At 37.1% G+C, this 16,222-nt stretch overlaps 1 protein-coding gene across 8 annotated transcripts in view, besides 1 other annotated feature; it reads right to left on the bottom strand.

Moving 5' to 3' along the window:
* USP9X (ubiquitin specific peptidase 9 X-linked) overlaps window positions 1-16,222 on the bottom strand; it is a 151,135-nt gene that overhangs the window by 97,620 nt on the left and 37,293 nt on the right. For all 8 annotated transcript variants that reach the window (NM_001410748.1, NM_001410749.1, XM_047442548.1 and 5 more), the window contains 5 exons: window positions 15,236-15,489; window positions 9,815-9,960; window positions 7,424-7,503; window positions 4,123-4,235; window positions 1,938-2,156 (listed from right to left, as the gene is read on the bottom strand). In NM_001410748.1, coding sequence (NP_001397677.1) covers window positions 1,938-2,156; window positions 4,123-4,235; window positions 7,424-7,503; window positions 9,815-9,960; window positions 15,236-15,331 — 654 coding nt within the window. In that variant the 5' untranslated portion in view covers window positions 15,332-15,489. The remainder of the gene's footprint in view (window positions 1-1,937; window positions 2,157-4,122; window positions 4,236-7,423; window positions 7,504-9,814; window positions 9,961-15,235; window positions 15,490-16,222) is intronic.
* Window positions 6,543-7,043: an enhancer, noted in NCBI's record as "H3K27ac hESC enhancer chrX:40991170-40991670 (GRCh37/hg19 assembly coordinates)". NCBI's record gives its function as "activates a minimal SCP1, AML or CMV promoter by ChIP-STARR-seq in naive H9 embryonic stem cells {active_cell/tissue: H9 hESC(naive)}" and the evidence as "EXISTENCE:reporter gene assay evidence [ECO:0000049][PMID:30033119]".

Below are 16,222 nucleotides of genomic sequence, written 5' to 3'. Positions count from 1 at the left end.
CTGCCAACAACAGCTTTCCTTCTCTGGCTCTAAGTTTTCAAGACTGGCAGAGAAAGATCAGTCGCCCTAAATAGAAAATTCAAAATGACCACATAGCTTACAATTCACCATATGCTTTCCACATAGTTTTCTATTGCTACAAGTTCCTTTTCTCAAAGATAGCATGGTGAATTTCACCTAAGACCTTTTGTCGTAACCAATGAAGTTTTTATTATATTTTAAATGTTTGAATAAATGATCTCATTTAAACATCTTCAAACATCTTGGGGGAAGATGGGGATTAGGAAACACTCTGAGAGATAGTCCTGACAGCTTTAGCTTTGTCATGGGTCAAAAGTTGAGGCCACAGAGGTTCAATGTCCCAGGAGGGTAGGAGGTGTAGAGAGAATTTGAAGTAGAACAGAAGACCTACCAAAAGCTCCAGAGAATGATTAAGTATTAAGGCTCAAAAATATTCCGAATAAAACACTTTTAAGCTCTGTAACTCAAATTTCTCAAAGGTAAATGAAACTCATTACAAACAGTATCCGAAAGTGAATCTACAGCTTAGAAAGTTTATCTCCATCGACTAAGTCTGATGATCTGAATTTTGCCACTACCACTTTTGGAGAACAGGAGAAAAAAACATATGGAGGCTATTACATATCTCTTAGATTTTTCATTATATCATGACATCTGCATTCAACTAGGACATGGTTGAAGATGCTGCCAAACATGTCCCCTTTTAATCAGATTTTTAAAAGCTTATAGAAGACCTGTTTAGCTGTATGATAAAATTTCTCTTACTTCAATAGCAAGTAAATGTGAAGGTAACTCCATAGAATATGCTTCTCCTTGATTCGCAACTATATTTTGGGCTATATTTTTAAAAATTGTACTCTTGAAGGCTTTGAAAGGCTAACACTCTCACAATCGCTACACTTTATAAGTTTAATAGCAAGAACTATATTTCAAAGATATAAAACTATCTTCAACCAGAAGTCATCTAAAAATTTTACATTTAGCCATGTTAAATCAAGTTTTGTGCCCTGTGAATCTCTTAAGTTGTGGATTACTGGCACATAGAGAAAAAAAAAAAGTAAAATTTAAAAAGAAATACAGGTATAGATTAAAATTTTCATTTTGAAGACTGCCATTATTTAGATAGTAACCTGATCTACTCAAGCAAAAATAAGCCATCTAGTGGCAACTATATGAACTAGGAAATATCAGAAAATCTCAACTTAAGTTTGACCTTTTTTTGATAACTTCAGCTTATTAGTAAAATAAACCAAGTTCTCCATAATGTATGACTTAAAATCTTTCTGGCTGGATAGAAAAAGGGAAATTTGTACAAGACCTATAATATTAAAAATGTCTCCCTAAAATCTAAAATTTTAAAATTATATAATATTTATTAAAAGAAGCAGCGTTTAGGGAAAAATTTTTTAAAGTGTACAGTCTGTTTACACCAATATAGAAAACTTACATTTATGTACACAATATATTTAAGTGAGATTTGGAAGATTTACTATATTGATTTCATTAACAATTTCTGTAATTTTATGATGTATTATTAGGTATTTAGAGGATATACTTGATTTTGGAGTCAAAATCTTAGAATGCCTAAAATGATCACGGCCCTACAGAACAACAATTGAGTCCTTGGTCAAAGAAGTAATCTCCTACTCTATTTCAAAGAAAAAATACAGTCTGTTTCCTACTAACCCAAATTATGACTACTTCTAAAGAGGCTGGACAGAAGACAATGGGGATAATTATACATGCAGAAAAAACAAAGAACTAGAACGACAAAGCTACGAAAAAGGCTCCTGGTTGTGTGTATTTTCATTTAAAGTGTTATTTCATTGTCACACTTTAAATACAGATCACTGAAGATTCTGTGTCAGAACAAAACAATTGTATTATTTAATTTTGAAAATAACAAACCAACACACCTTTGGTGATCGAGGATCTGGAGAACGAGCAAAGAGTTCATCTTCAGGCAACTGAACACTTGAGGAAACTGATTCACATGGACGTGTACCATTGTAGATATGGAATTTGCAATGAGGATTTAAGGCCATGGCAAGAAGTTCTAAAAGTGGAAACCAGTCTTGGGACAACTTGGCCACACATAGCTCCACCAGACGATGAGTATTGTTAATAATACACCTCTGTTATACAAGGGGGAAAGGCGATTTACAAGATCAAAACACTGCAATTTCAAACAGAAATATCTTCCAATATTAATCGTATCCTAACAAATAACGATCTCTCCATTTTTCTAATCATTAATATTGGGATCAAACTGATTATCAAAGGACAAATTAGAATTTGTTTACTTCATAATTTATATGGTACTTTCAAAAGCCATTTGCTATGGCTTAAAAAATACAAGAGGCACCATAAGATATCTATTCCTGCTCTACGTCCACAGGTAAGATGCAAGTTACTATTTTTTCTCTGTGGAATTTGTACACGAGAGGCAGCAATTCTAGAGTCTAAACAGTATGTCAGGCTGAGCACAGTGGCTCACGCCTGTTAATCCCAACACTTTGGGAGGCTGAGGAAAGCGGATCACTTGAGGCCAGGAGTTTGAGATCAGCCTGGCCAACAGGGTGAAACCCTGTCTCTACTAAAAATACAAAAATTAGCCACGTGTGCTGGCATGTGCCTGTAGTCCCAGCTACTCGGGAGGCTGAGGCATGAGAATAGCTCGAACCCAGGAGGCAGAGGCTCCAAGGAAGCCAAGATGGCGCCACTGCACTCCAGCCTGGGCAACAGAGCAAGACTCTGTCTCAAAAAATAAAAATAAATAAAATAAACAATATGTCAATCATCCAAGATAAATTTGCTAGCTAAATGTCAAATGCAGAAGTCTGACGCCACTTCCAAAGTTTCCATTTCTACACCTATACAATTACATGTTAAATCAGAAAATGTGGAATTTTTATGCTATGGTCATATTTGGGAAATAGGTTATAGGCCACAAAAATATTATCTGCTTGACAACTTATGACCATTTCCATAGTATACAAAAGAACAGAGGCCGGGCATGGGGGCTCACACCTGTAATCCCAGCACTTTGGGAGGCTGAGGCAGGCGGATCACTTGAGGACAGGAGTTCGAGACCAGCCTGGCCAACATGGTGAAACCCCATCTCTCCTAAAAATACAAAAATTAGCCAGGCGTGGTGGCGCACGCCTGTAGTCCCAGCTACTCGGGAGGCTGAGGCAGAAGAATCACTTCAACCTGGGAGGCGGAGGTTGCAGTGAGCTGAGATCGCACCACTACACTCCAGCCTGGGAGACAGAGTGAGACTCCGTCTTGCGGGGGGACACACAAAAAACAAAAGCAACAGAGACTTAGAGTAGTTATGGCATTTTATCAGTCTGAGACATATACTTTTTTCACTTTTTAAGATCTCTGGAATCTGACTCTATCTTATAATCAATGAACAATACATTACTGTTTTCCTAAATGGAAGGTATTTGCAGAGAGGAATTGTGTTTGCTTCTGCTAGTCACTTGGGGGCACTACCGACATGAGACCACTTTACATTTTCCACTTAAGGGCTTTTTGTATTGCAACTATAATTTGAATTCAGACTACGAAACTGTTTAAATACTGGCTTGTGGTTTAGATTTTCACTTTTTTTTTTAATCCCTCCCTCCACCAAGTGCCAAGGTTGAGATATGCAGGATTTTTTGCTGTCCCTTTCTGCATAGCAAGTTCATTTCTCATTTACCTCTATACTGACCCTTTGGTGTCCCAGACGTATATGAAATGCCCCATCTTGGGTGTTTTTCTTCCTTAATAGTCCATAAAACAGTGATGTACCTTACAATTGATAGCATTACATTTTCAATGAAATGTGATGACTTGCCTAAGGTCACAGACACTTGAGATCCCAGAGGAGAGATTAAACCCAAGCTTAACTCTAAATCTCATGCTTATTCTAAATGACCATGCGGCCTTCAAGAGACTTAATTTATAAACATTTTTAAGTTTTTCATTTTTAGACCTTTTAATTCAATTATAACAGAATAAATATAACACAGCCACACACACATATACCTCTTCCCACTCACAGGCATCACTATGTAAATCTGATCCTTTAAAGTCAAATGCAAGACTCACATGAATTTCAAACTTCCAGCCACTCACTGCTTCATCTGTAAGAATTTTAGTGAATGATATTGTTAGCCCATCACGGAAAAATCGCTGACATGCTTCACTTTTAACATCAAGGCCTAAGAAAAAGGGAGAAAAATTAATGCAAACAAAATGTTCATCTGGTTGTTTTTACATTGTCCAATATACAATAAAAGGTAATAAATAACTGGAAACTTCACCGACAGCTAACAAATATTTAATTGCATAAAAGTAGATTAACCGAGTAATATTAACACTAACTGAAAATGTTACAAATTATGGCACTAGCCTTAAACACAAAATGGTGATCAGCAGCACCACAAGAAGAGGCAAATTTAAATAGTATTTTGCTCCCTGAAAATAAGTCTTTGACCTTAAAAGCATTTCCCAATTTTTAAAATCTTATTTTGTTCATAAATCATTCATTTAGCATCAATATCCTTATACTATTCTGTGTTTGATCAAATAAAATGAATTATGTCTTGTCTTCCTTATTAGCCTCTCTCAATTATCTCAGTGTCTCTGTTTCTTTATATCTTTGCTTAATTTCACCTCATTTTAGAAAGGCAACAGAGCAATGTGCTTCCAAACAAAGAAAATCTGTAACTCTTAATGACCAAATAAAAACTATTCAATTTGTACAGAAAGTATTATTTGATTGATAGTACAAAAGAGATGGTAATTTAAACTTTTAAAAATTTGGAACTTGTTGAAAATAACCGTGGTCTCAGAAAAAAAATATGGTGGAGGGAGGAATACATGTCCACTGAATGTCAATGCTATTAAATGAAATACCATTAATCAGTGTTTATCCATCATTTTACAGTCAGGACTTAGAACATGCTTAGCAAAGAAGTCTTCCAAAATTTGCTGATATGCCCAAAAGAAAGAAAATCAGTATATTGAAGCGATATCTGCACTACTATGTTTGATGCAGCACTGTTCACAATAGCCAAGATTTTGAACCAACTTACGTGTTAACTGATAAATGGATAAAGGAAATGTGGTACATATACACAATGGAGTATTATTTAGCCATTAAAAACAAATGAGATCCTGTCATTTCCAACAACATGGATGGAACAAAAGGTCACCATGGTAAGTGAAATAAGCCAAGCACAGAAAGACAAACATCACATGTGCTCACTCATTTGCAGGATCTAAAAATCAAACAATTGAACTCACGGACGTAAAGAATAGCGGGATGGTTAATGGGTACAAAAATTAGAATAAGACCTAGTTACTTGATAGCACAAAACGGTGAGTACAGTAAAAAATAATTTAATTGTACATTTTAAAATAACTAAGAGAGTAAAACTGGATTGTTTGAAACACAAAGGATAAATGCTTGAGGTAATGGATACTCTATCTACCCTGATGTGATTATTACGCATTGTATGCCTGTATCAAAATATCTCATTACCCCAAAATATATACACCTACTATATACCCATAAAAATTCAACATTTTTAAAATAAAAAAAGATATTTTCTTTAAAAAATTTTGATGAATTAGTGAACGTATAAAAGAACAAAAAATTCTGAGTGGTGAAAACAACTGTAACCTGTCCGCGTATTGTATTTTCACTTTGGGATATTATTTCTACAAGATTAATGAGGCATAAGGACACGTTCTTTAAACAAAAGAGGGGAATTATTAAAAGATAAATCAAACTTTCCCTTGCCATGGAGTTGAACTTAAAGTACTAAACATGTTAATTTTGACAATAATCAGTTTCAATTGTGATAGTGCCTACTGTTAGTTATAACACATCCATAGCTATCCTATTTCAGAAAATGAAATGTTACTGCTTTTTAATCTGCAATATCTTAAAAAATGAATTGAAAGTTATTACAATGGTAGTCCTCTGTTAGATAATTCAACTGCACCTAAAGTAGACCAAAGTCATTGGGGGAAAAAAAAGATTAATTCCAGCATTAAGCTTTTTTTCTGGACAACTGAGTAAAAACACCAGATTTCCTTTTGCTGGTTAAACAAAAACTGAGACTTCATCTTCCGATTCTTTAAGAGAAAAATCACACCTTTCCTGTGTATTAATAAAAAAAAAAAAATAGGCTGGGTACAGTAGCTCACGCCTGCAATCCCAGCACTTTGGAAGGCCAAGGTGGGAGGATCACTTGAACCCAGGAGTTCAAGACCAGCCTGGGGAACCAGTCTGTCTCTACAAAAAAAAAAGAAAGAAAGAAAGAAAAAAGATTAGCTGGGCGCGGTGGCTCATGCCTATAATCCCAGCACTTTGGGAGGCCAAGGCGGGTGGATCACCTGAGGTCAGGAGTTCGAGACTAGCCTGGCCAACATGGTGAAACCCCGTCTTTACTAAGAATACAAAAATTAGCCGGGCATGGTGGTGGGCGCCTGTAATCCCAGCTACTCGGGAGGCTGAGGCAGGAGAATCGCTTGAACCGGGGAGGTGGAGGTTGCAGTGAGCCAAGATCACGCCACTGCACTCCAGCCTGGGCAACAAGAGTGAAATTCCATCTCAAAAAAAAAAAAAAAAAAAAAAAAATTAGTGGGCATGGTGGCGCATGCCTGTATCCCACTCAAGAGGCTGAGGCAGAATGATTGCTTGAACATAGGAGGTAGAGACTGCAGTGAGCCATGATCACATCGCCACACTCCAGCCTGGGTGACAAAGCAAGACCCTATCTTACAAATATGTAAGCGAGACAGTTTATTTCAGAAGTACAATATTAATGAAATGGTAATTTTTACCTGAAGGATTATGAATGAAGATTTTACTAGGTAAAATTTTACTGAGTACAAAGAGCCACACATCCTAATTCACTGTCATTTCAGTAAAGCAGTCAAAGGTCAAGTGTAAATAATTTGTAGACTTACATAGTAATATTTTGAGGACAGAAATGACTCAAGATAATTACAAGGAGGGCAGGGGGCAGATATGTCTGGAGTCCATCATACCATCCATCATTTATAGAGTACTTAATTGTAAAATGTTCTTTTGTATAGTATTTCCCATAACAGATAAGACCCTCAATTAAAAATGTTTAACCTCTGAGTGACAACCTCTTTGCAAATCTGACGAAACAATGAATCCACTCCGTAGAAATACAAATATAAATTTTATGTGACCTCAGAGAGTTCACAAACATCCTTTAAGAATGTCCAAAGGATATGAGCCCCTCCTTGCAAGCTGCAGTATGTGTTTATGATGGAGGAAAACAAATCCACTTCATCCGCTTTTGGGATAAAGTAAAAATACATCTAGTAGCATACATTATAGGAAGCATAAAAACATATAACTTACCCTTTTTACTAAGATCAATAGCAGCTTCTAAAAGCACTTCTAATTCCCCTTTCGGCAAAACTGGAACCACCCATCGAGGCCTAAAAGTTTTACCAAACAAAAACATGCTTAATGGTTGTACACTAAAAGAGGCACTACAAATGAGCTACTAATTATAATTATCTTGCTATGAAAATATTTAATATTAATATTAAAATAACATTAAAATATTAAGACAAGGTTGGCAGATTATCTGCTTTGTGGGACTAAGCACCACCTGATGTCTCTACAAATTTTTACAGGTACTGTCAAAAGATACAGCAATAAGAGAGGGAAGAAAACTAAATTATCTTGATAACTTAGGATATAAAACTATTATAACAATCAAATATTAACTAATTAGGTATCATGGATATTTTTGTTAAAATTCATAGGGAAGTGCTCTTTCAGGATTCAGATCAAAGGAGACATTATGATAAACCTCTTCATTGCCCCGCCACCCCCCTTTTTTTTTTTGGTAAGAGACAGGGTTGCCCGGGAGCAGTGGCTCACGCCTCTAATCCCAGCACTTTGGGAGGCCGAGGCAGGAGGATCACCTGACATCAGGCGTTCGAGACCAGCCTGGCCAACATGGTGAAATGACGTCTCTACTAAAAATACAAAAATTAGCCAGGTGTGATGGCACATGCCTGTAATCTCAGCTACTCGGGAGGCTGAGGCAGGAGAATCGCTTGAACCTGGGAGGCGGAGGTTGCAGTGAGCCAAGATTGTGCTACTGCACTACAGCCTGGGCAACAGAGTGAGACACCGTCTCAAAAGGAAAAAAAAAAGAAAAAGAAAAGAAAAGAGATCAAGACCATCCTGGCCAACATGGTGAAACCCCATCTCTACTAACACAAAAATTAGCTGGGTATGGTGGCACGTGCCTGTAGTCCTAGCTACTCGGGAGGCTGAGGCAGGAGAATCGCTTGAACCCAGGAGGCGAAGGTTGCAGTGAGCCGAGATCACACCACTGCACTCCAGCCTGGTGACAGAGCGAGACTCCATCTCAAAAAAAACAAAAAACAAAAAACAAAAAAAAAAAGAAAAAAAGAAAAAAAAAATCATTTGTATTTTTCTCCCCCCTGAGAACTTGCTAATAATATGCAACTTTAGCCTAAGAAGTATTTTATTACCAATCACCAACCACCAGACAAGTATGGAAAAGCAACAAACAATACAACCTTCTGCTATGGTATCACTGCTATAGAGAATGGTCAGGGACCACTATTAAATATAATTTATTATATACCATTACTATAGGCACCTGCCAGAATCACACAATGTATTCTTATAAATATATAATTAAAAACAATGGAATTTATTAATAGGAAAAATATTCAAGATAAATGAAAGCAAGTTACAAAATTATAGTAAGAATCCTCTATTTATAGAAAAATCAATTCATATATGATAGTAAACACAAAGGTAATCTGAAGAATGTATTGATTGTTAACAGTAATTTTTGGCAGGAATATGTGTATGTAAGGGGGAAATTACAGAGAAATTTACCTACACAAAATATTTCTGTTAACGCATACTCATTATTTATGTATTTAGATTTCTTTTTTTAATGCAAAGGATTTCTATTTCCCCTCACATTATGCATTTAATAGTGTTGACTTATTTTTAGAAAATGAAATTTAAAAAAAAACTCAGTAAAGCAAGTGCCTTTAAGAACATGTGTTTTCATTACTTTCCTTTTGGGGAGTGAGGGGGAAATGTGTCGCACCTTCCTAGCACTCACTTGTTGAGCCCACAGTCTGGTGAAGATCACAGTCACATGGGATTCCTTGATGTGCTCTTCCCTAGCCTCTTGAAATCTTTTTCTTCCTCTGCACAAAAGCTTAAAGCTTCACTCTCTTGGAGGTTTCCTCTAAATAATCAAAGTGTGTGGGGTGGGATAGGGTGGTTGTTTGTACTATAAGTGTGAAAAATTATATTCTGAACTGTTCCCTGAGATGAAGACCAAAAAAAGGAAACATCTAGGATGGTTAAATAGCTCAAACTAGTCAAGAGTTCACTAGGATCAGGCTCTGAGGAACTCAATGTCCTCATGACCTGATTTACCTCAGGCCATCCCAAAAATTATGAAAGTCATCCAGCAACCAAGAGACCAATGAGAAAAAAACTTCATAAACTCTCCAAGAGGGAAACTGAACATACAATTTTACTTCGGAAACAACCCAACTAGGGTCATCATCATTAATGTGAAATTTTTACTAACACTGTCACTCCCTTTCATTTATTAAATCTATTAAGAATCATGGGTTATAAAGCACTTGGCAGTGACGAAGCTATAAAGACTATTAAGGAGGCAGTGGGGTTACTTTCCTGTCTGCTCTCTTTCTTGGGTGTTACACACCAACTCACCTGTTGATCATGTCATCCAACTTGGCCAAGTCAGTATGTGGAAATGCAGGTTCCTCATCTTCAAGCTGTGGTGGGGCATCACCTTGACCTTGCTCATCTGGGGGAGTTGCCGGGGAATTTTCATTGGAAGAATCAGGCGATGAAGTCTTAATTAAAAATTAAACATTCCACATTTAAGTTTCTATAACATATGTAAAATAGTAATCCAAACACCAACATAGACAAGCATTGCAGATTTAAAAATTTTGTAAATAGCCCTACATATCCATGGGTTCTGCATCTGCAAAGTCAACCAACAACCTTGGATCGAAAATATTCAGAAAAAATTGCCTATGTGCTGAATATGTACAAACTTTTTTGCTTGTCATTATTCCCCAAACAATATAGCATAATAATGATTTATATAGCATCTACACTGTATTAGGCATCATAAGTAATCTAGAGATGATGTGAAGTATATACAGAAAGATGTGCATGAGTTATATTCAAATACTAAACCATTTTATATCAGGGACTTGAGCATACACCAATTTTGCTATCCAAGTGGTAAGAGGTCTTGGAACCAATCCTCCATGAATACTAAGGGACAACTGCATTGTAAATTTTTACAAAAGATAAAATAATTGAAAGTTTATGATGTTTCAGGCCATCTCTGTACTACTGTGCTTTAAAATAATTTCATCTAATCCTCAACAACCTAATGAAATATGTTACTGCCATTTAATAGATGAAAAAAAACTCAGAAAGTAAGTAGCCCAAGATCACACAGCTCAAATTCTATACTCAGGATTTCTATCAAAGTCTAAATAGTTTGTGTTCTTAATCATAATGTGTACTGCCTCTCTGCTTACATTTCCCATTATATAAGCCATGACAGAAATTATTCCACAAATATGATACATCACATTTTATACATTATAAAGTAATTTATAACTTCTGTTTTTTATTTGAAGGGAGAAAATGTAATTATTCCATAACTTCCCTACACCCAAACCATTATCCAAACAATAATTATTTAGAAGTTCATGATTATGGTTCTTAAATAAGTAACATCACTTTCAACTAACGTGGCTATTTTTCTCTTTCATTCCTCATTTTTAGCATGTCTTTCTCTCCCCCCGTTTTAACAGTGCATAATATTTTCACAACTAAGTGAATGAACTTTTATGACCTTTACTCTTAATTCAGAAAGCAGGTGGTATTTTCTCTTTCAAAATGAAACTAACCTAAATTTTAAACTGATTTTTATTCATGTGTTCTTGAATTTTCTATTCACTATAGGCTGATGGCCCTTTAAGAGAAACGGGCCCCTCGCCTTATCATTCAAGCACCTATTTAACAGTTGTAAAATAAAGAGTTGCATAAATAAGCACTTGCACGAAGACAGATGAGTTTACCAGCATTAATATGTTTTACTCACAAAGTTTATACATGAACTCATATGGTCAATTAGTAACTAAATGGTGCACTGTGCAGGTGCTCACAGTAACACAGTAAAACTGTGCAGGTGCTCACAGAGCTGGTCTCAAGGCACAGGAAACTACAGCACGGAAGTCAAGTGTTACAAGTCCAACAAAAATGTCTGATGTGAAGTATGTAACTTTGGAAGCCTGCTTTATTATTTTTTAACTCCTTGCCCCCTGATATACAGGTAGTTTACACATGCTCATAGAAAATATAAAAAATAAAATTTAAAACACCTGTAATTCCACACCTATAAACACCACCGATATTTATTTCCTTGTAATCTTTAAGAGTAAATAAAAACTGTCCATATATATGTTCAATAAAACTGGAATTATACATAAGTCTCTGTCCTTTTCCATTCAATATATCTAGGTATTCAATTTTTTGATTAAGAATCTTAAAAAAATATTAATGGCCAGATAATATTGCATGAATTAAACAAAATTAAGGGGACGTTTAGTATTTGGTAATTTTTACTGCTAACAAACATAAACATAGCTGTAATTAATGTTCTCATATATAAACCTTTGTGTTGAACTTCAACTTTTCCTTAGGATAGGATCCTGGATATATAATTACTAGAACAGTATAAACAATTTCTTTGAAGGCCACTGACAAATACTGCCAAATTTCATTCCAGAAAATTTGCACCCTCCCAGCAACCACATCCAAGAGTGTTCATCCCACGGTGTCTCTGCCAAGGCTGTTTCATTTATCGAGTTTTACTACATACTAAAGCCTAAAATTCTCTAAGAGAATTTTTTTTAAAGGCATGCTTAAAAAAAATTAAGTGAAAAATCTGATTTTAGAAATTCCCTTTATGCCAGCACATAAAAAGCATATCCAAAAAGCGAGCCCTAAATTGAACAGTGATTAACACTTTGGTTGCTGCTTCTTGGTACAACCGTGTCAGATCTTGTAAAATAAAATCCTAACATTAAAAAGTAGAGAAAAACAAAATGTAAGAGTGAGGGATAATGTAATTTGTTTCATTCCTTTGTTATTTTAAATTACCAGTCATCTTTAAAAATGTAAAGTTTTTAGAAGAAAAAGAACACAATGTAGACATAGAATATTAGGTTGAATATCACAAACCCAAGAGCTCTAAAAATCATCAAGTACACCTTAAAATAAGAGTAAGGTTAAATTAAAGGTTTGATTTTTGTCTAAAGCCATGCAAGTCAGAAACATTGCAAAAAAGGTTAGAATTCCATGGACAATGCAGGTATAAAATGAAAAAGGAAGAGGGAAAGATACTGGAACTCTAACTACTAGCTTCTGGTGTAAAATTAGAAATCTTTAGCATCCAACTCAAACCTCTGACTACGCTTTTAAAAACCTGAATACTGGCTAACAAATTTATGTCACAGGAAGGTCTTAACTCTGTCCAAGACCTGTGACCATACACTTTAATATTTTATGTCTCGAAAATGGGAACTAGAGAGGAAAAGGAATAAAACTGACACATTTATTTGGGGGAGAAAAAACCCCCGACTTGTTCACTTCTCTAAAATGGCAGAGAAAGAAGAAAAAGGAGAGACAGACAGAAGCTCTTTTCTATACTACTTACGATAGAATATCTAATCTGTAATAGCTGGACAATAAGAACTTATCCCCAAATAACAGTATAAAAACTTCAAAATAACACTTTTGCCTAAAAACTTACCTGACTCTACATAAACATGTAATAATTGGAAGCAGCATGTTTGTGATCATTTACACACACCTCAACTTACCTCTTACCTCTATAGAAGGTAAGTTGTGATGTGAGCTGTACATCGTAAGTTTTAATGTTTTGCCATTCAATTTAATACTTCCCAATATAAAACTGTATATATTAGAAAAGACAACTGAAATCAATTATCTAAATTTCCATTTCAAGAAATGAGAAAAAGAACAGCAAACCAAATCCAAAGTAAGCAAAAGGAACAGAGAGAGAGAGAGCGCGCGCGCGTGCGCGAGAGAGAGAGAGAGAGAGAGAGAGAGAGAGAGAGTGTGTGTGTGTGTGTGTGTGTGTGTGTGTGTGTGTGTGTGTTGGCGGGAGGGGTGTGGGGGGAGGGAGTAAAGCCAAGAGAGTTGTTTTTAGAAGGTTTAATGACATTGGTAGTGGTATCAGAAATATCAGAAATAAGGAGGCATTACCATAGGCCCCAAGACACAAAAAAGATAATAAAAAGGGTCGTTAACAACTTTACCTCAAATTTGAAAATCCAGATGAAATAAACCAATTCCTTGAAAACCATAATTTACCAAAAGACACTAAAAATTAAAAAATTCCTCCACTTAAAAAAAAAAAAATGGATCGGCCGGGTACCGTGGCTCATGTCTGTAATCCCAGCATTTTGGGAGGCCCAAGGCAGGCGGATCACAAGGTAAGGAGTTCGAGACCAGCCTGACCAACATGGTGAAATCCCATCTCTACTAAAAATACAAAAATTAGCTGAGTGTGGTGGGACGTGCCTGTAATCCCAGCTACTCGAGAGGCTGAGGCAGGAGAATCGCTTGAACCAGGGAGGTGGAGGTTGCAGTGAGCCAAGATCGCGCCACTGCACTCCAGCCTGGGCAAAAGAGCAAGACCCCATCTCCAAATTAAAAAATGGATCTTCAATTAAAACTTTTCCATAAATAAAACCCCAGGCCAGATGGGTCCACCAGTAAAATCTTCCAAACAATTAATGAAGAAATAATAAACTTCGCATAAATTCATCCAGAGAACAGAAAGAGGTACACCCTATGAGTTTTGCGGCCAGCATAAAACCTTAATACCAAAATCTATGTTTAGCATTAATTCAATTGATCCTTTTAACAGTCCATGAAGTAGTTACACTATTATTACCCTCATTGTACAGATAAACAAACTGAGGCTTAGAGGTTATATAATTAACCCAGAGTCATAACGCAAGTATGGTACAAAGCTGAAATTTGAACGCTAGGCAACATGACTTGGGTCCATGTTCTTTTTATAATCTTATTGTAAATTGACAATTTACAATTGTATGTATTTATGGGGTAGAAAGTGGTGTCATGATTTATGATGGGTCCAATGCTAACCATAGGCTACACTGAATGATTTAATGCTTTCCCCCTTAGAATTGACACATGGCTTAGTTAATTTTAATGACTGACAGTATAAGCCATCAGAAAAAGACGGACTACATACTCAAGTATTACCATCTACACCACTTGAGCTTTCTTGTTACTATGCAAGACCTATGTTCACTTTTCTTTTTTTTCGGAGATGGAGTCTTGCTCTGTCACCCAGGCTGGAGTGCAGTGGCACCATCTCGGCTCACTGCAACCTCTGCCTCCCGGTTCAAGGGATTCTTCTGCCTCAGCCTCCCGAGCAGCTGGGACTATAGGCACGTGCCACCACACCCAGCTACTTTTTCTATTTTTTAGTAGAGATGGGGTTTCACCATATTGGCCAGGCTGGTCTCGAACTCCTTACCTTGTGATCCGCCTGCCTCAGCCTCCCAAAGTGCTGGGATTACAGATGTGAGCCACTGCGCCCAACGTGTTCACTTTTGTTAATCAAAACTTAAAATAACAGTTGCTTCACAAATTATTTAGAACATGTTCCATCATTTAGTACCCCAACAGTAGACCCACCAATGTAGGTTTTTTGTTTTTGTTTTTGAGACAGAGACTCGCTCTGTCACCCAGGCTGGAGTACGGTGGCGCCATCTCAGCTCACTGCAACCTCGGCCTCCCAGGTTCAAGCAATTCTCTTGTCTCAGCCTCCCAAGTAGCTGGGATTACAGGTGCATGCTACCACGCCCGGCTAATTTTTGTATTTTTAGTAGAGACAGGGTTCCACCCTGTTGACCAGGCTGGTCTCAAACTCTTGACCTCAAGTGATCTGCCTGCCTCAACCTCCCAAAGTGCTGCGATTACAGATGTGAACCACTGAGTCCAGCCCCACTGTAGCTTTAACTAGTATCTTCAACATCCTACCTGATTCTGTTGGAGGGGGGGCTGAGACTGTCCATCAGGAGCCTGGCCCTGGTTGTCATTCCCTCCGACCGGAGAGCCACGAGTCGTGGCTGTCATACTCGACACAGGGCAGATCTTTGCAATTTTGTCTGCTTATGTAGTTGTCTTGAGAAAAGAAATTATAGTCCACTTATAGAAGATGAAGTACCAGCATTTGTCAGTCTTAAAAAGGTCCAATTCAAGAATAAACCATCTTGCAGAGACCATTGCATAACCTACAAATAGAAAGGGGAAAAAGTAATTGGTTTTAGATATAAAAAACATGAATTATGGAACTGTTCGAATTTAGTATCACCAGTGAATCTAATCAGGAAAAAGGGGCTATACAAACAAGAAGAGAAAGTAAAAAGCTGAAGTTTCATTAATACTACATTTAACTTAAAACTGATCATTGGTACACTGGCCATTATACCAAGAAAACAAACAAATATAGCCTCCTGGAAATGACTCCAAAGGCAATATATCAAAGTACTTAACTGTCATTTTAATTAAATTAAGAAACGGCAAAAACTATCTGTTTTCAATTTGCTGATGCATTCATTACACTGTAAGAATAAGGACAAGAGGTATGAGGGTGGGGTCCCTGGTGAGGGCTCAAGCCTGGACCTGCAGCCCTAAATGAGAACAGGCATTCCTGTTTTCACGCCCAAGTGTTCCCTTTTGGCCTGCCACGCACCCCTATCCCGTGCCCATATAAACCCCAAGCCCCAGGCTCCAAAAGCAGAAGAGTGGCAGAGAAGCACAGCAGAGAAGGAGAGAAGAGAGGAAGTGTCTAAAGGTGGAGAGGAGGTTCAAGCTGGGGGCCGTTGGAGATTGGCTGTGAGATAGCCGAACTCCAGGAGAAGATCATCTTCCCACTCCATCCCCTCTCCAGCTCCCCATCCCACTGACAGCCACCTCCACCACTCAATAACATCCCCACATTCACCATCCTTCAAGTCCCTGTGA

The sequence above is a fragment of the Homo sapiens genome, chromosome X, assembly GCF_000001405.40.
Source record: "Homo sapiens chromosome X, GRCh38.p14 Primary Assembly".
NCBI classification, from domain to species: Eukaryota; Metazoa; Chordata; class Mammalia; order Primates; family Hominidae; genus Homo; species Homo sapiens.
Note: the sequence above shows the minus strand (reverse complement) of the source record. Positions and strands in the feature narration are given on the sequence as shown.